The 19,397-nt window shown below is 38.1% G+C and overlaps 1 protein-coding gene and 1 pseudogene across 30 annotated transcripts in view; both read left to right on the top strand.

The window, feature by feature from the left end:
• Positions 1-19,397, top strand: part of NEK10 (NIMA related kinase 10) — a 262,900-nt gene that overhangs the window by 86,248 nt on the left and 157,255 nt on the right. Inside the window, exon 23 of one of the 30 annotated variants that reach the window (XM_017005774.3) lies at positions 4,187-19,159. The exons of the other annotated variants lie outside the window; for them this stretch is intronic. Coding sequence (XP_016861263.1) covers positions 4,187-4,314 — 128 coding nt within the window. The 3' untranslated portion in view covers positions 4,315-19,159. Of the gene's footprint in view, positions 1-4,186; positions 19,160-19,397 lie in introns of those variants that run through there. 30 annotated transcript variants of the gene reach the window in all.
• On the top strand, positions 17,453-17,556 carry RNU6-342P (RNA, U6 small nuclear 342, pseudogene; annotated as a pseudogene).

Genomic DNA, 19,397 nt, shown 5'->3' with positions numbered 1-19,397 from the left:
GATGATAAGATTTACTGTCCAAATTTTCGTAAGTAGAACATCATATTAATATATTTGTTGAAAAATAAAAAACAACCTACAACAGAAACTCTAGATAACCTTCAATACAAAGCTACTTGGAAATATTTCGAAGCCAATGCATTGTGAAATAAAAAAAGAGAAAATAACTGTGAATCTTTATCTTGGACACACATTTGCTTAATCATTTGAAATTAATTATAACTTTGTTTACCTTAGGCTTTTTATGTTTTCTCTTTTTATAAATTGAACTTATATTTCCTGAAAATTTTTTATAATTTATTTATTTGCTGGAATGTCAATTTATAAGTTAATAAGGATTATTATAAATTGTGTGTTTTAATTTTATAACAAATAGTATATATATATAACACAGTTATGTATATATATAACACAGTTATGTATATATATATAACACAGTTATGTATATATATAACACAGTTATGTATATATATAACACAGTTATGTATATATATAACACAGTTATGTATATATATATAACACAGTTATGTATATATATATAACACAGTTATGTATATATATATAACACAGTTATGTATATATATATATATATATATAACACATTTATGTATATATACAACAGAACAAATATGTTTAATCCTCCTTAAATGGCTGTTCAGGCCATATTTTCTGAGTAATAGCCAACTCTGCATTTTATTTTCCTATGAAGATTAGCTGTAATCATTTCCTTTCATTACATTTAAATGTACTAAGCTTAATCTTTTATTGCAGTAGCCTGGTTTATTTTTTTCTAAACTTATATTTACTTTCTTTAATCATTATCACGCATCAAAATAGTTTATAAAATAAAAAGCTTATAGAGAAAAACAGTTTTATGCCCCATCCCTTTGAAACTTTAGTTCTGTTCCCACAAAATGGCCACGTCTCCACTTTTTATTCTTTTTCTTATGGTATTTGATTTTCTATTGTAATGGGTGAGAATTTAGTTTTCTTTCTTCTTCTTCCCCATCTACTATCCTGCCAGTACAGTTACAGCAGAATTTTATGTTAAGTCAATATTCAATGTTTACATTATTGCTGCTGTGTAATTATTGTTCGATGTTGATTACCTATCCTTTCTCATAGGTAGTTTTGTTTTTCTCAGAGTTAATGATTGCCTTCTTTTTTGTTTGTGTTCCCAGTTTTCTTTGTACCTATTATTTACTTTTCTCCAAATCTTCCAGAAGAATTATAAAACCCTCTCAGTACTATTTTCCACATGGTCAAACATGATAAGTACTCCCACTTTTGTTTTCCTGGACTCCTCATTCCTGCAGCTGCTTGTTGCAGTGTACTCTGGGTTTCACTTTAGGCCTGCTGCACAGCCATTATCATGGAACTATTGTTTGTTGGTCTTCCGATTGTAGACTCCATTTCTTATGTTCTGTGTCTTTTTCTTTGTAAACTTCCCTGCTCTGCTGAAGTAAGTCTTCTGGTACTTTTCTAATAAAGAGTGCTTTGGGCGTTATGTTTTTTGGATGTTCGCTTGCTACAAATATTTTTATGGGACCCTCTTATTGGACTGGTATTTGGCTTGGTGTATGTATTCTCAGATGAAAGTTCTTATTCTCTCAAGTTTTAAAGGCATTTCTCTAGTCTTCTGGTATCTAGTTTTGCTGTCAGGAAATCCAGTGTTCTTCTGAGGCCTATTTCTTGATACATGAGGTATTTTATCACTCTGGAAAATTTCAGAATGTTCCCTTTATCCACTGCTTTGGATGGGTCTTTAAAATTCAATGTGTCTGTAGCCACGTGTGCTCTTCAATCTGGAGACTTAAAATTTAAGTCCTGGGAAGTTTTCCTGCATTATTTCTTCACTACTTTTCTCCCCTCTGCTCTCTCTGTTTTCATTTTTAGAATCTTTTTAGTCTTAGATACCATATGTACAAAATGATCTCCTAATTTAAAAAGTAATTATCTTAGTTTTTAATGTTTGTCTCTTTGTTATAATTATTTCTTCAACTTTCTTTTCCATTCCATTGAATATTAAATTTATATTATCATATTTTAATTTCAAAAATTTTTGTCTTATTTTGTGTTTTATTTTTATGGAACCCTGTTTTTATTCTTTCTCAGGGTAATATAGACTTTTTTTTCTTTAGCATCCTGAATTGTTTCTGCATCTTCTGAAGGTATATATATATATGCATATACATATACACACACACACACACACACACACACCATATGTACATATACACACACATATACACACACACATATAAAACATATATAACTAAACAGTAGCATATATACATGTTTTATTCCTGCTTAGTATTATCTGTCTTTCTGGCTGGGGGCTTTTCTCAACTGTCTTGTGACCCTGGGCTGGTCTCTAATAATTTTGAGGAAGGCATGAAAAAGGCTGTCAGAAGCACTGCGAGTTCCAGTTGAGGCTGTCATCTGGTGCCCTTCATTATAATAAAATGGAAATTTTCCTTTGAAGACTCCAAAATCAGTATCTAAACTTTGTTTTTTCTAGAGAATACTCTTCAAGTATCTTGCCTGGGGGTATGTGCGCCTGTTTGCTGTCATTCTGAGCAGCGTCAACAAACGGGGCTCAAGGAACCACATTCAGTTTATAAATTTTCGTCGAATTCTACCGTGCTTGGTTCCTTGCTGGTTTATTTCTTTGAAAAATGAATATTTTCTGTTAGTGGCAGAGGGTGCTTGATTTACTGGCTGTGTGTATGTGGGAGGGCACCTGGGAACTTGATCTCAATTCTATGTATTGAGCTTTCTGCTTCTCTTCTCCCTTGGATGGCACCCTGGGCTCTGCAGGGTTAAATGGGCTCCCTTAAGCCTTCCTCCTCAGATGCATGGGTAGCATTTTTGCTCTGCTGAGTCTGACACCATCTTCTACCTGCTTTCCATCTGCCACACATTTATTGGAATATCTCATCCTCTGTTGTTGCCAAGCCCATTCTCATTGTTCCTGTGGGTTAGTAACATTCCAAAGAATATCCCCTCTCCCAGCTTTTTTTTTTTTTTTTTTTTTTTTCCATTTTAGGGGGTTTGAGATTTAGAGGAGATAAAAACATATGGTCAATTCACCTTTTAACCCACAACACCCAGCCAATTTTTGTATTTTAGGAGAGACGGGGTTTCACCATGTTGGCCAGGATGGTCTCGATCTGTTGACCTCATGATCCGCCCGCCTCGGCCTCCCAAAGTGCTGGGATTACAGGCGTGAGCCACCGCGCTCGGCCTACTTCCAGATTTTAAGGCCGTTTAGCTTTAAGTGAAGCAGTATTTTCCTAGTGTCAAATAAAGAAGCAGCACAGGTTGGTGGCATACTGGTGAGGCTAGCAGCCTTCAGACACAGAAGCTAGTGAGCTCAGAATGGGATCCTAGCCTAGTCTAGTTTCTCTTCACTAAAGCAATTGTGTGGTTAGGGCATTCATGTACTCCCATTATTTTCAGTGACTATAAAATGATTTTATGACTGAAAAGATAATCCACAGAGATTTGATGTCATTCTTTAAAAAATACTTTAAATATAATAGTGCTGAAATATTTTTCAGTGTCTATCTCTATTGATATAATGTAAATATGTCCATTAGTCTCTTATCTTTAAGAGGGATTATGGTTAAATTAAAACCCTGCAGCATTAATTTAAAAGTAAGTGTATAAAATTTCCATATTTTAGGAAGTGGAATGCAGCTGCAATTAGTAGAGCCTGTGAGAATGGGCTGGCTGCTGTGGGTGTGAAAGCATGTCACCACAGAGGGGCAGCCTTGTTATGTTTTATTTTTCTCTTTGCTTGCGCTAGAAGGTTTATTTACTTCCAGAAAAGAAACACAGAATTGCCAAATGATGTTTAAGATGCATGAGACAAAGTGTACTGAAAATGTGATCAGAAAAAAAAGCTTTCAGAAAACTAAAATTTTCATCTTCTCATTTTTCTCAATATAGGTGAATTAAATGTTTTAAGATTGAGGTTGGTTTGCACTTATTTATAGTAAGCATGCTGGCAGGAGTTTGCTTTGATGAGGAAGCAGAATAGAAAGTACTCACATATTCTGCTATGCTTGGTTTTGCAAATGCTATATATTTTTAAGTCTAAATATATTTCCATTTGAAAGACTATCTTTTGATGGCATGTGCCATGACACATGTTCAGGTCTTGTTCTCCATTTATTTGCAGCCTTTGAAACCATCCAAGGAAACAGACCCCGATTCAGTGGTACATGGGGTGAGACACAGTCAACATTTGCCCTAAATACTGTCACTTGCCAAATAAGGTCCATATTGTGCCATCACATTACAAAATGACTCTTGAGGGAATTTGGTAAAACTGAACTTACCCTTGAACCCACCATTCCAGATTTCTTGACCTTTTCAAAAACCCTTATTTTAATGTAAACCTTCCATGTCCGCTTGCCTCCTCTGCTTTCAAATAAAAAAGGAAAAGAAAAAACAAAACTCATTTAATTATAGTTAATAGATTTCAGGCATGGACTTTAGTACATGACACAGAAGGTCACATGTTCATCTTGCAAACAAACAGGCTATGTGAATTTCTGTTTCTCAAGTGATATTTGGCACCTGCTCTGATGATAACAACAAGAAAAAACCTGATTCAGTGTAAAGTTTATCAAAGGCTCCAAGGCTCTTCAAATGTTATCACAGGTCAGGCATTGCTGGGATAGATATAAGATGAAAAGCCATGGTTTCTGCTCCCTGAGCTCACAGTCCTATGGGGAAAACGTCTGTTATTCACTCAGCAATTACCTTCCTAGCTGACACATCCTACAAGTGAGCACAGCAAGCATGAAGGACATAACCCCTGTCTTAATGAAGCTTATAATTCTGTTACAGAGTGATGAAGGCTAGAATGTATATGCAAAATACTGTAACATGTAATAAGTAACCTGAAATTCTCAACAGCTTAAAACAGTGGCAAAATACAGCCTAAAACAGTGGCAAAATACAGCCTGTGGGACAAATCAAGTTGTGACCTATTATTATATGTCCTGTGAGTTAAGACTGGTTTTTATATTTTTAAATGCTTGTTGAAAAAGGAAGAATACATGACAAAGACCATATTTGTTCCATTTAGGCAAAGCCTAAAATGTTTACTATCTGGTCTTTACAGAAAATTTTGTCTGCCTCTGACTTAACAAGACTCCTATCCTGCTAATGCTACATGTCCATTATGTGTCAATAAGGGAGCTTCCTCTGTACTTGCTTCTACATCCCAGAGGCAGGAAAGACAGAACATGGGAAACCATGCCGTGGCTCTTAAAACTTCTGTCCCAAAGTAACACATGTTACTTCTACTCAGATTTCATTGGTCAAAGAAAGTCAGGTGTAGCAGGATGTGGATGCATTCCTCCTCCGAGAGAATATGAGTGAATAGTTATATAGTCTATCACAGCTATATAAGCACTGGGGAAAATGTGACTAACTGTGCCTTAGGGATCTTTTGGTGCAGAGTTAAGCAGGAAGGGTAAGAGCAGTTAATGCAGAGGCATAGCACATGCAGAGGATAGAGACATGAAGGAGTATAGTGTGTCTAGGAACTATCAAGGTGTTTGATGTGGCAAGAGATGAAGGAGCCTTGGTGGGTGGGGAGCTTGGTCAAAGACTTATCCTCAGAGATTTTTCAGACTAGAAATTATATGATCAGATCTGGGAGGTAGAAGGATTATTAAAATGGCAGGTGAGGGAGCATGCTGGGGAAAGACTGGACCCAGATACTCAGTTTAGGACATGTATCAGTTAGGATATGTTCAGGTGCAAAAAGCCAGACTAACGATGGCTTAAACCATGAGGATATTTAGTTATCTCACAACAAGGGGTCTGAGAGTGAGTAGTTCCAGGGTGGGTTCAGCAGCTTAGGGTGATCTAGGCCTTTCTGTCCTTTCTTTCCAGTATCCCCAGCAGATTGACTTCTCCATATGTTTGTCATCTCATAGTCACAGGATGGTTGCCAGAGCTCCAGACATTATTACCAAATTCAAAGATGGGAGGCAAGGTGGCTGCTTGGGTAAAATCTAGAAAAAAAAATTGTCTTCTCCAAATGCTGTCTCATCTGCTTTTACTGTTAAAGAAAATCTTCCAAAGAAGGTCTCCATTAGCCTTCTTATATTGTGTTGACTGAAACCAAGTCATGTGACTACTCCTCATTGTAAGAGAGACTGTTGAGGTGAGCTTCCAGCCTCTATAGTTGGAGATGAGAAAGGGAGAGGATTTGGTTGATGGTTTTTGGAGAGCTGGCCCACAATGTTTGCCACTGAAGGCTCTTGCACTTTTGTCCAGGAAAGTCATGATGTGGGTTTTTCCAATGACAGAAGGAGAAGAGAATGTGAAAAAGGGGCTCAATTCAGCAGTTATTTGGGACCTAGAATTAAAAAGATTTGTCGGCCAGTTAATGAGATGTGAGGTATGAGAACAGTTGAGAAAGAGGCTGAGTTTGTGAAGATTGCTCTGCCATTGGCAGAGATTTAGGTGTAAGGTTTTGGACATGCTTAGTTAAAATCTAATTATGCTCTTCTTCTGGTTAAAATCCTTCAAGTAATTGCCTATAATATTTAAGATAAAGTTTAGTTTCCTTATGGCACCCAAAGCCCTTTCTTCGTAATCTCCTCCTTGCTCCTTGCTCTGACCTCCTGGGACAGATTGCACTTTCCTGAACAGGATGTGGCTGTATGCCTCTGGGACTTCTAACATGCCATCCCTCTGCCTGGAATGCTCTTCCTCCCTTCTGCCACTCAGGTCAAATGCGCTTCCTCCAGGGGGCATCTTTGACATCCACATCTGATATGTCCAGTTTCTGGGACCCCTTAGTACACTGGGCTTGCCTGTCTCATAGCACATGGCACAAAGTATTGAAAACACTGGCTTATTGCCATCTTCTCCTTGAGGTGAGAGAAATGAACTTTCTTGACCTTCTTTCTCTGATAGCACTTAATATTTTTATTCACCAAATGAATAGAAGAATGAATGAATTAATGAGCAAATGAACAAAAACACATCCAGGTGGAAATATTCAGAAGCCATTTTACAAATAGGGAGCAGAGATTGAGGTGATACCTGGGTTTGAGATCTCCTTCTGATAGCCAAGATTGTCTAGAAAGAGTGCTTAAAACAAGAGGAGTTGAATATTAATGTAGAAATTGCATGCGCACATGGGCAAAGGTCCAAGCAGTTCCCACTGTCATCTTAGCAAACAGTAACTCAAAGAAAAAATTTTACTTTCTTGAATGCCACCAAAGTTTCAGACATTGAATTGGACCTACCCTGTATTGCCAGAATCTTCAGTATTTTAAATTTTTCAGAGGATTAGAGGACTTTTAATTGTTATTGGTTGGCTAAACTGTGGCTGAGAAATTTGTGTCATTATATAAAAAAAAGAGTTAGTATTGCATTTCTGATAGGGAACTCAAAGTCCTTATGTGCACATTACTCATATACTTACAAAACCTCCTGGTCAAATACATATATGATGGACTCTATTCATGGTTTTTGTAGGTCTGTCGACATGCCTTGCTTTGAACTTGTTCTGTGGTTTACTTCCCGTTAACCGGATATAGTGTCTATAGAGTTTGAGCTGACACGACTTGAGTACTCTTAAAAGACTACAGAATATTGAGCCACTTGTGTTAAATACCCTCATAGCAACTGTTGTAAGAAGGATCACCATGGAATTTTTCTCAGTCAACAGATTGGCCTCATGTTAGTAAGAAAGTAAGAATATTTTTGTCAAGTTATCACAGTTGCCTTGTATTGCCATTGGGTCTCATAACATAAAAAGGAAATGTCAAAGGAAATTCAGTCAAATCCAATTTCTGAAGTACTTTAAAGATTCTTACACCTTTGGTGGGTCATTCTGCATTTCTCAGATTCTATATTTTTAAGTTGGCTACAAGAAAAAGATAAGAATGGGAATTCGACAAAGTTAGAGCCAGATGGGGTTAGTTTCCAACCCTGACAATTGTTATCCTTTTCTGATGAGACAGTGAACTGGGTGAGCACAGAAGGAGACACCAAATTTTTATGACCTTAGGTGAAAGTTGGAAATAGTAACCTCATAATTGAGGTTTATAAGGCCAAATAAAAACACCGAAGACTAAGGTTAATACAGTAGAGTTCATTTTAGTGTGTATTTGGGATATGATTTGGTTCTCTGAGAGCTTTTAACTGAAGGGGGTGGAATCTGATGTGTGATGTCGTCTGGATGAGTTGTTTTCACTCTGTGAGTTTTCCCAAAGTGTGTTTTCTGAAGAAACATAGTGAGTAGGCAGTAGTACCTATTTTTGTAGAGACTAATTCAGTGGTACAGAGTACTATGCTTCTGATTATGTCATCAGCATTTCCAGCCAGCTAAGTCTACTAAAGCCATTGGAGCTTCAGAGGTACTGCCCTGATCTCCATCCTAGGCCTTTTAAGAACTAGTATCATGCCACACACAGTATGTGTGTGTGTGCATGTGTGTGTGTGTATGCCTGCATGTGTGCGCATATGTGAAAAAAAGAGAGTGCACCCCTGACTTCCCATCCTTATAGGAGTCTGGCCCTTGGCACTTTTATGTAATGTTAGAGCTATATGTACAGAGCTCCATTATTCCAACTGAATAACCAGAAACAAACCCCATTCTGAAGAATGATTTTAGAAGAGCCCTCTGTGGTTTACTTCCCATTAACCCCAGATACAGTGTCTATTTGAGTCTGAGCTAAGGACATTAGTTTTCCCAAGGATCCAGTCTGTTGATACACATCTTAGAGCTAGGTAATGTTTATGTACCACAGATATGGAGTTACCTAGAATTCAGAAAGCATTCTTTTATCAAGTGTTGAATTTTTCATCATGAAGCTCTGTGTCATCATAACTCCATCAATAAAATCAAGCAAATAATGATGCTGTTGAGAAACAGAAGTTCCTTCCCTCTCCCTCATCCCTGGTGGAGTCTGCACTGGAGAAGGAAGCTTTGGAGAAGTGGAAAGTGGCATGGTACAGGGGTCCCTGGCACACCAACACCAAACACCTGCCGCCTACTCTTTGTTTAGGAATATCTACTTTAGACTTAATTAGCATGCCATTTGTTGAATTAGAAATAATTTTAATATTAATAGTAGTTGGACTTCATTTAGCTGAAGGTCAGGAAGCAGTTTGAGGGGCAGAGATTAGAATCTGAATGACCTTCAGAGGAGGAAGTGTCAGTGAGACAGGGGTTCGTTGAGGGAAAACTCTGAGCATTATCCTGGGAAACTCCTTCCCGTCCCTCACTGACTCCTGCACTGAGAGGATGTTACTGATGGTCCTGTTGCTGTGGACATTGTAGGTTAGCCATTCCATTTACTGAGGCAGCAGGAAAGAGTAGAGTGGTAAATGAGCTGGAGATCTTTATTCTGGCCTGTTTCACAGTTGTGCTCAAGTAGACTCCTCTGTCATTGCCTAGTATTATAGAGGTTTCAAATAATCATTTCCCGAAATTGTCAGGTCATTAATTATTTTCATTTTACTCAGGGAAGACATCTTTAAGATGATAAAAATTTTTAGCTATGCTTTGAAGAAAAGGAACAACCACCCATAGCTACATCCCTTGAGCATTTACTATGTGATAAAAGGATAGATATGCATTTTCTCATTCAATACTCTGATGCCTTTTAAAGATAGTGAAAAAGGTTTAGAGAGTTTAGAAAACTTGCTTAAATTCCCTGTTTGTAGATTGACAGTGTCAGCAATGAACCATGTCTACTTCTAGAGGTCATCTCTTAACCAAGTCTCTCTCTACTATTCTCTCAGAGGAAGCCATTTCAGGTAACGAAAAAGACATGTTTGAAAGGCACCAAGATGCTTATGGTCAAGTGCTGTACAAGGATGAGTAGTTTGTTGGAGGGGACATTTTAATTTGGGCAATTATGAGAGAGGTCAGTCACCTGAACATGGCTGCAGGGTCTTGCATAGCCTGTCAATAACCCCCATTTGGCCACGCAGTTCCTCAGTAGACCATTTTCCCTTGACCATAGGGCCTTTGAGCATGCCATTTCCTCTGCCTGGAAGTCTCTTCTTCACTTTCTCCTCTTACCTAGATAATGTCTGCCTTCCTTCAGATGTTAACCCAGTCACCATTTGTCACAGAGGCTTTTCCCAATCAGCTGTTTTCCTTATAATACCCTCTCTTAACCCCATATATGGGGGAAGGTTAGGAAGCAGTTGGGGGGCAGAGATTAGAATCTGAGTGACCTTCAGAGAAGGAAGTGTCAGTGGGACAGGGATTTGTTGAAGGTCAGTCTTCTTTAATGATCTTATCACAACTGTAAGTTTACATTTATATGTGTGATTCTTTATTTAATGTGTATCTACACCACTGGTCCCTAAAGTCTGTGTCATCATGGATGGTTTTTGACCTGGTTATCATCTTATCTTGAGTACCTGGTTCAGCACCTAGAACATATGCTCTTAGTGTTGGACAAATGAGTAAATGGACAATCATGAAGTCCAGATAAGGCAGCTGGAAACTTTGTAAAAAATAGCAATCGGAAGACCTTCTGGTACATAAGTGGGGGCCTGATGTGATGAAGGCAGGTGTTGGTAGATTGTTTCGTTGTCAAATACCCTGTAGGATGGATTAAAAGGAAAAGCTTTCTAAAGAAGTGCATCCCCTTTTTTGCAGGAAGAGTGAGAGCCTAAGCTCCTGGCACATTTAAACTATAATCAGACAAATCAAAAGAAAGATGCAGATACAAGAGCTGGTGAGGGGTTGAATATAGCAGCAAGTGAGAAAAGGCAAAGATTTCAAGCCCAGGAAATGGGGAAGATGAGATGCCATCTGGTTGACTGGGATATCCCTGATGACTGAATGATGAGCCCAGTCTTGGGTGGGAAGTGGCAGGTGCTTTATAGGGCTGGAGGTGAAACCCCAGACAAAGGCTGGGACTTTACAGCTGAATTTGGAAGTCACTGACACATATGTGATGGGTGAAAGGTTGTGAACAGCTGGGTTCCCTGTGGATAGGGTTGGGAATACCTTGCATCTATACAGTATTTCAAACTGCTTTTCACCTATTGTCATGCTGTTGTTGAAACAATCCTTTGCAAACAGTAAGGTAAGTTTTATAGGCCATTTTTGAAAACCAGAGAGCAAGAATCTAGGGACTCAGCCAAAGCACACACAACTTTTCCATCTGAAGGCTGGTAATTGTAGGGCTATAGTGTAAACATGCTATAGAATTTAACATTTTCTGTATCATTTGTCCTGTCAAAGGGGAGAATTTCTTTGGATCCTATTTTTTTTTCATAATGTGCTGTATGCAAAATGTTTTCTATTGTCATTTTGAATACCTGTAATGGCACATGAATGCTTTTATGAGTACAATTTCTGAAATAAAACATTTTCTTCTTCTCCAAATATGATCACAAATGAGGAAAGAGTAATAGAAACATTTCTGTTACCACCCAGGTCTCCCAAATGTCCAAACAATATTAGTTTTTGCTCATTTTAAGAATACCTCTCAACTCTCTGTGTTTTTATGGATATCTGTCCAAGTGTCTGCTATTATCTAAATTAACTGGAGTGAATAAAATCATTGTAATGCTCCTCAGTTTTTGCCTTTCAAAATAAATGGCATTTTAGTAAGAATAAGATGACTCTTACATAGCATTAGAAAGAAAAGCCAAAGCATTATTTTTGGTTATAAGTTGGTCAAGAATTGTATGCTAAAATTATAGTGGGCTCCCTAAAAATATTGAAGTTGTGAATATTGAATACTTTTTTTTTTCTGTATAGTGATTGCTTAATTTTAACTAATTTTCTCCAGTACATAAAAGGGGAAAGATAGCAAGCCATCTAGTTTGTGAATAGTTGTTAACACCACCTTATACGATTTAGTCTTCTAATATGTCCTATATGTGAATAGTACTATTAGGTGGAGAGGTTAGACAGATAGATAGGTAGATAGATAGATAGATAGATAGATAGATAGATAGATAGATAGATAGAAGATAGATAGATGGATGGAAAGATAGATGGATATACATATAGTTATGCCTATATATGTACATATACATGTATTAAAAGATATGTATCCATCAGTCTACAGGGATAAGCAATACAAAGTCCTCTCATGGATCTTTCATACTAGTTAGAAATGACAGACCCTAAATGAATGAAAAAATACTAAATAAATACATAAAGTAATTTCAGATAATGAAATATGTTAAGAATTAAATAAATGTAATAGAAGAATATTGAAGGAGAGGACTTTTTTTTTATAGTGTGTACTAGAAAAGTCATTCTGAACGCCCAGATCATGTATGGTCGTGTAGACCTTGTAGTAGTTTGGCTTTTATTCTTAGTATTTATCAAACGTCTTTGTAGAGTTTTAACCTTGTAAGTAGTGACAAATGAGTAAATGGACACTCGTGATGGCAACTTTAGATATTTAAAAGATCCTTTTGGACCTGAAGTGGAGAATTATATTTCATGAGGAGAGATGGAGGGAGGGAGTCTGTTCGGGAGGAATAGCTCAGTAGCCTCAGTGAGACGTCACAGTAGCATGGACGGATGATGGCAGTTGTATTCATTATCCATTGCTGGGTAACACATTCCCCAGAAATTTGGAGGGTTAAAATAACAAATATTTATTTTCTTATCATTTCTGAGGGTCAGGAGTCCAGGAGCAGTTTATCTGGGTGATTCTGACTTAGGGTTTCTCATGAGGCTGTAGTCAAACTGTCAGCCAGGGATGCATCATCTGAAGCCTGGACTGGGGCTGGAGGGTCAGCTTCCAAGAAGGCTCAATACCATGGCTGGCAATGGGTTCTGGGTTTTGACTGGAGTGAGTGCCTCATTTCTCTTCCATTTGGCCTTTTATCCTTGAGGGCTGCTCTTCTCTATATAACCTCTTCAGCAGAATAACCTTTACTATTCTACATGGTTGCTGGGTTCTGAGAGAGAGTCAGTGAGCAAGAGAGAGCACAACACAATTGGAAGCTGTAGTTTCTTTATAACCGAACCTTGGAAGTAACATCTCATCCGTTCTGCTATATTCAGTTCATTAGCCATGAGTTACCAAGTCTCATCCACACATAAGAGAAGGACAATTAAGATTCACCTCCTGAAGGGAGGAATGTTAAAGAACTGGTGAACATTTTTCAAAACTACAACTTCAGTGGAGGTGATGAGAGGTGGCCTAATTCACTATATATATAAACTTTTTGTAGAAACAATAGGATTTTGCTGTGGTAAAGGAAAGTGAGGAACTATATCAGTCAGGACTCATTCATGAGACAGGAACAACCGAGTAATTTTAACAGGACAAGTTTCATGTATTAAAATGATTTTTAACTAGTACTAAGATTAACTACAAAGAGTTAAAGATAACCCAATAAAGAACACAGGAATAGCATATACAGGTATACCTTGGAGATACTGTGGACTTTGTTCCAGAACACCACAATACAGCAAATATTGCAATAAAGCAAGTCATATAAACTTTTTGGTTTTTCAGTTTGTACACGTTGTGTTCACATTATGTTATAGTCTATTTGTGTGCAATAGTCTATTTGTGTGTATTATGTCTAAAAAGCAATTTAGGCACATACCTCAATTAAAACATAATTCGTTGCTAAAAAGTGCTAACAATCATCTGAGCCTTCAGCAAGTCATAATCTTTTTGCTGGTGGAGGGTCATGACTTGATGCTGCTTACTGATCAGGGTGGTGGTTGCTCAAGTTTGGTGTGGCTGTGGCAATTTAATAAAATGAGACAACAGTGAAGTTTGCTGCAGAGATTGTCTCTTCTTTTCACAAAATAAATGTCTGTAGCATGAAATGCTGTTTGATAGCATTTTACCCACAGTAAAGCTTCTTTCAAAATTGGAGTCAATCCTCTCAAACCCTGCTGCCTCCATGTCAATTAAATTTATGGAATATTCTAAATCTTTTCTTGTCATTTTAACAACGTTCACAGCATCTTTCCCAGGAGTGGATTCCATTCCAAGAAACCTGTTTCTTTGCTCATCCAGAAGAAGCAACTCTTCATCCGTTCAAGTTTTATTGTGAGATTGCAATGATTCAGTCACATCTTCAGGCTCCGATTCTAATTCTAGTTCTCTTGTTATTTCCACCACATCTGCAGTGAGTTTCTTCACTGAAATCTTGAACCCTTCAAAGTCATCCATAAGGGTTGTAATCAACTTCTTCCAAACTCCTGTTAATGTTGATATTTTGACCTCTTCCCATGAATCATGAATGTACTTAATGATATCTAGAATGGTGAATCTTTTCCAGGAGGTAAACGTTGCCCAGATCCATTAGAGGAGTCACTATCTATGGCAGCTATAGCCTTATGAAATGTATCTCTGAATTAGTAAAAGTAGAAATGACTCCTTGATCTATGGACTACAGAATGGATATTGTGTTAGCAGACATGAAAATAACATTAATCTTTTTTTACATATCCACCAGAGCTCTTGAGTGATGAGGTGTATTGTCAACAAACACTAATATTTTGAAAGGAATTTTTTACTAAGCAGTAGTTCTTAACAATGGGCTTAAAATATTCAGTAAACCATGCTGCAAATAGAAGGACTGTCATTCAGACTTTGTTGTTCCACTTATAGACAACAAGCAGAGTATATGTAGCAACATTCTTAAGGGCCCTAGGATTTTCAGAATGGTCAATAAGCATTGGCTTCAACTTAATTACCAGCTGCATTAGTCCTTAATAAGAGAGCCAGCCTGTTCTTTGAAGCTTTGAAGCCAGGCATTGACTTCTCCTCCCTAACTATGAAAGTCCTAGATGGCATCTTCTTTCAGTAGAAGGGAATTTTGTCTACATTGGATATCTATTCCTTAGTGTAGCTACCTTCATCAACTGTCTTAGCCAGATCTGGATAACTTGCCATAGCTTCTATATCAGAATTGGCTACTTCACCTTGCACTTTTATGTTATGGAAATGTCTTCTTCCTTAAACCTCGTGAACCAACCTCTGCTAGCTTCCAGACTTTCTTCTGCAGCTTTCTCACCTCTCTCAGTCTTCACAGAATTGAAGAGAGTTAGGGCCTTGCTCCAGATTGGGCATTGGCTTAAGGGAATGTGTTGGTTTGACCTTCTGTCCAGATCACTTAAACTTTCTCTTTATCAGCAATAAGGCTGTTTTACTTTCTTATCATTTGTGTGTTCAGAAGTGCCACTCCACTGAGTAGCACTTTTAATTTCCTTCCAGAGCTTTTCCATTACAACATGGCTGTTTGATGCCAGAGGCCTAACTTTCAGCCTGTCTCAGCTTTGGACATGCCTTTCTCACTAAGCTTCATCATTTCTAGCTTTTGATCAAAAGTCAGAGATGTATGACTATTCCTTTCACTTGAATGATTGGAGGCCAATGTATGGTTATTAACTGGCCTAATTTCAATATTATTGTGTCTAGGGGGATAAGGAGGCTCATAGAGAGTGAGAGCTGGGGGAACAGCCAGTCAATGTAGCAGTCAGGATGCACACAATGTTTAGCAATTAAGTTTGCCGTCTTATATGCGCATGGTTTGTAGTGTCCCAAAACAATGACAATAGTAACATCAAAGATCACTAATCACAGATAACCATAACAGATATAATAATAATAAAGTTTGAAATATTATGAGAATTACCAAAATGTGAGAGACATATAAAGTGAGCAGATGCTGTTGAAAAAATGGTGCTCATAGGCTTGCTGGATACAGGGTTGCCACAAACCTTCAATTTGTAAAAAAGAATGCAATATTTGCAAAGTACAATAAAGTGAAGCACAATAAAATGAGGTATACATATATAAGCAGCTACTACCTCTAGGGCTGAGGCAAACTATACAAAGAAGGAGCAAATTTTAAGACAGCCCCTCTCCTCAAGGGCTGAGATCCAGACTTTGTTGGAGAGGGTATGACTATAGCCCACAGATGGCAGAAATTGCATTGAAATGCTGCAGGATAAAGCTGTCAAACAGAAAGCTGCCCCTGGAATGATGACCATGTTTTTCAGGAAGCCATTTTCTGGGGTATGAGTAGAACTCAGTAGGAAGCTGTTGGCTTGGGTGCTCCTGAGACTAACTAGACTGAGCCTGGCTAGAATGCCGGTAGAAGTTACTGGGAATCTACCTGTGGAGGTGTTGTGAAAACAGCTGAGATGCCAGCAGAATTTCATGGTATGTTGTCTGCTGGGGTGCTTGCAAAACTTGCCAGGAAGCTGGATATAGTGCCAGTGGAACTGTCTACGAAGCTGCCTCTAGGGGAAGTGAGCACCACTAAGCATCCTGCACACTGCACAAGTGCTACAGGAGCAAGGAAAGAGAGGAAGCATGTCAGAACCTGGAAAAGAAGAGAAGCCTCTCCTGTAGTTTCTCTTCAGCACACCCTCTACTGACAAAGCTTTACATCAAGCCAGCTGGCGAAGGAGAGACATTATCAAGGTCCAGCTCCATTAACAAAGCAGGGCAATGATGAAGGGTGGATTTGATGCTGAAAGGGAATAAGTTGACAGCTAGCACAAGAACTAAGGAAAGTACCTAGGTCAATGATGGTGCCACTTACTGAGATGGGAAACCAAGGAGGAGTTGTTTGGGTTAAGATTGAGAATTCTCTTTGAGTGTGTTAATTTTGAGATGCCTAGGAGACACTTAAGTGAAAGTTTTGATTATCCAGATGAATATGTAAATCTGGTGCTCGGAGAGAGGAAGGGACTATTTCCAACAAATGGTGCAGGAACAGTTGCAAATCCCCATAAAAAAATCAGAACCTCAACCTACATATTGTATCTTATATAAAAATTAGCTCAGCTTGGATCATAGCACTATATGAAACTTAAATTATGAAACTTCTGGAAGAAAAAAATGGATATAGTCTTTGCAGTATTGGGCTAGGCAAATATTTCTTAGACAGCATCAAAGCCATAACATGTAAAATAAACTAATAAATTTGACTTAGTCAAAGTTTAAAACTTCTATTCTTTGAAAAACGTTAAGAGAATGAAAAGATAAGCTGCAGACTAGTAGAAAATATTTGCAAATTGTAGGCCGGGCGCAGTGGCTCACGCCTGTAATCCCAGCACTTTGGGAGGCCGAGGCAGGTGGATCACGAGGTCAGGATCGAGACCATCCTGGCTAACACTGTGAAACCCCGTCTTTACTAAAAATACAAAAAAATTAGCCGGGCGTGGTGGCGGACACCTGTAGTCCCAGCTACTCGGGAGGCTGAGGCAGGAGAATGGCATGAACCCAGGAGGCGGAGCTTGCAGTAAGCCGAGATTGCGCCACTGCACTCCAGCCTGGATGACAGAGTGAGACTCTGTCTCAAAAAAAAAAAAAAAAAGGAAATATTTGCAAATTGTATATCTGACAAATAATTTGTATCCAAAACTTAAAAATAAGAAAATAAATAACCTAATGAAAAATGCAAAAATTTGAGCAGCCATTTCACTAAGGAAGATACCCAGGTGCTCACTGTGCCAGCATGTATACTAAAATTGGAGTGATACAGAGATTAGCATGGCCCGTGCACAAGGATGACATGCAAATGCATGAAGTGGTCCATTTCTTTAAATGAAGATGCCCAGATGGCAAATAAATACATGAAAAGTGTTCAACACAAATAAGCTCTAAGGAAATGCAAATCAAAACTATACTGAGATATCACTATGTACCTATTAGAATGGCTGATTAAACAAAAACTGACAACATTAAATGCTGATGGGGATGCAGAAGCAACTGGAACGCTCAAATTTCTGGTGAGAGAAAAAACTGGAAAACATTTTGACTTGGCAGTTTTTATAAAATCAAATTAAACACATGCTTATAATATGATCCAGTAATCCCACTCCAAGGCATTTTTCAAAGGGAAATTTAAAATTATGTTCCCACAAAAATTCATATGCACATATTGTACTTACCTGAATCTTCAATAGAATGTTGACTAGGAATGCTGAGAATGGTGGACATGTTTTGTTTTTGAACTTAAAAGGGAAACACTCAGTTTTTCAGGGTTAAGTAGATTATTAGCTACAGCTTTTTTTGGTAGATGCTCTTTATCAGGTTAAGAAAATACCCAACTATTCTTATTTTGCTGAAAGGAATAGATGTTGAATTTTGCTGACGCTTTTTGCACATCTGTTGAGATGATCATGGTTTTCCTTCTTTAATGTACTGATCTGGTGAACTACACTGATGATTTTTTAAAATTATTATTTATTTATTTATTTATTTATTTATTTATTTATTTATTTATTTAGACTGATTTTCGCTCATGTTGCCCAGGCTGGAGTGCAGTGATGTGATCTTGGCTTACTGCAAGCTCTGCCCGCCGGGTTCCAGTGATTCCCCTGTCTCAGCCTCCTGAGTAACTGGGATTACAGGCACCTGCCACCACACCCAGATAATTTTTTTGCATTTTTAGTAGAGATGGGATATCCCCATGTTGGCCAGGGTGGTCTCAAACTTCTGACCTCAGTTGTTCCACCTGCCTCGGCCTCCCAAAGCGCTGGGATTACAGGTGTGAGCCACCAGGCTTGGCCAATTAATTTTTATTTGAAAATTATTTTGGATTCAGGGGCTATATGTGCATGTTTGTTACATGGATATATTGCATACTGCTGGTGTTCAGGCTTCTATTGAACTCACACTGATGGATTTTTAAAAGTCAAATTAGCCTTGTATTCCTGGCATAAACCCCACTTGATCATTATGTATTATGCTTTTTATATGTCACTGGATTTGATTTACTTACATTTTGTCAATAATTTTTGTGTCTGTGTTCATGAGGCTCTTGTTCTGTAGTTTTCTTTTCTTGTCATGCCTTTGACTGGTTTTAGAATGATGTAATGTTGGCTTTATGAAGTGATTTGGGAAATATTCCCTCTTCTATTTTCTGGTAGAGTTTGTGTAGAATTGGTATATATTTCTTAAAAGTTTGGTTGAGTTTATCATTGAATTGATCTGGTCCTTATTTTTCTATATTGGCAGTGTCTTGGTGAGATTTGGGGCTTTAGAATCAAGCAACCCCAGATTAATATCTCACTTTGTTAATTTCTCCCTGTGAGACATTGGGCAAGTCACACATTCTCTTTGAGCCTATTTCCTCATCTATCAAATGGGTAATTGTGATAATTAAATAATAATATACATCATTTATTCAATACTCTACTACATGTATTTATATATAATACATACATGGGGGTGGAGCCAAGATGGCCGAATAGGAACAGCTCCCAGCATGAGCGACGCAGAAGACGGGTGACTTCTGCATTTCCAACTGAGGTACTGGGTTCATCTCACTGAGGAGTGTCGGAAAGTGGGTGCAGGACAGTGGGTGCAGTGCACCGAGCATGAGCCAAAGCAGGGCGAGGCATTGCCTCACCCGGGAAGTGTAAGGGGTCAGGGAATTCC

Source organism: Homo sapiens, chromosome 3 (genome assembly GCF_000001405.40).
Source record: "Homo sapiens chromosome 3, GRCh38.p14 Primary Assembly".
Classification (NCBI taxonomy): domain Eukaryota; kingdom Metazoa; phylum Chordata; class Mammalia; order Primates; family Hominidae; genus Homo; species Homo sapiens.
This window is presented reverse-complemented; position numbering and strand designations above follow the sequence as displayed.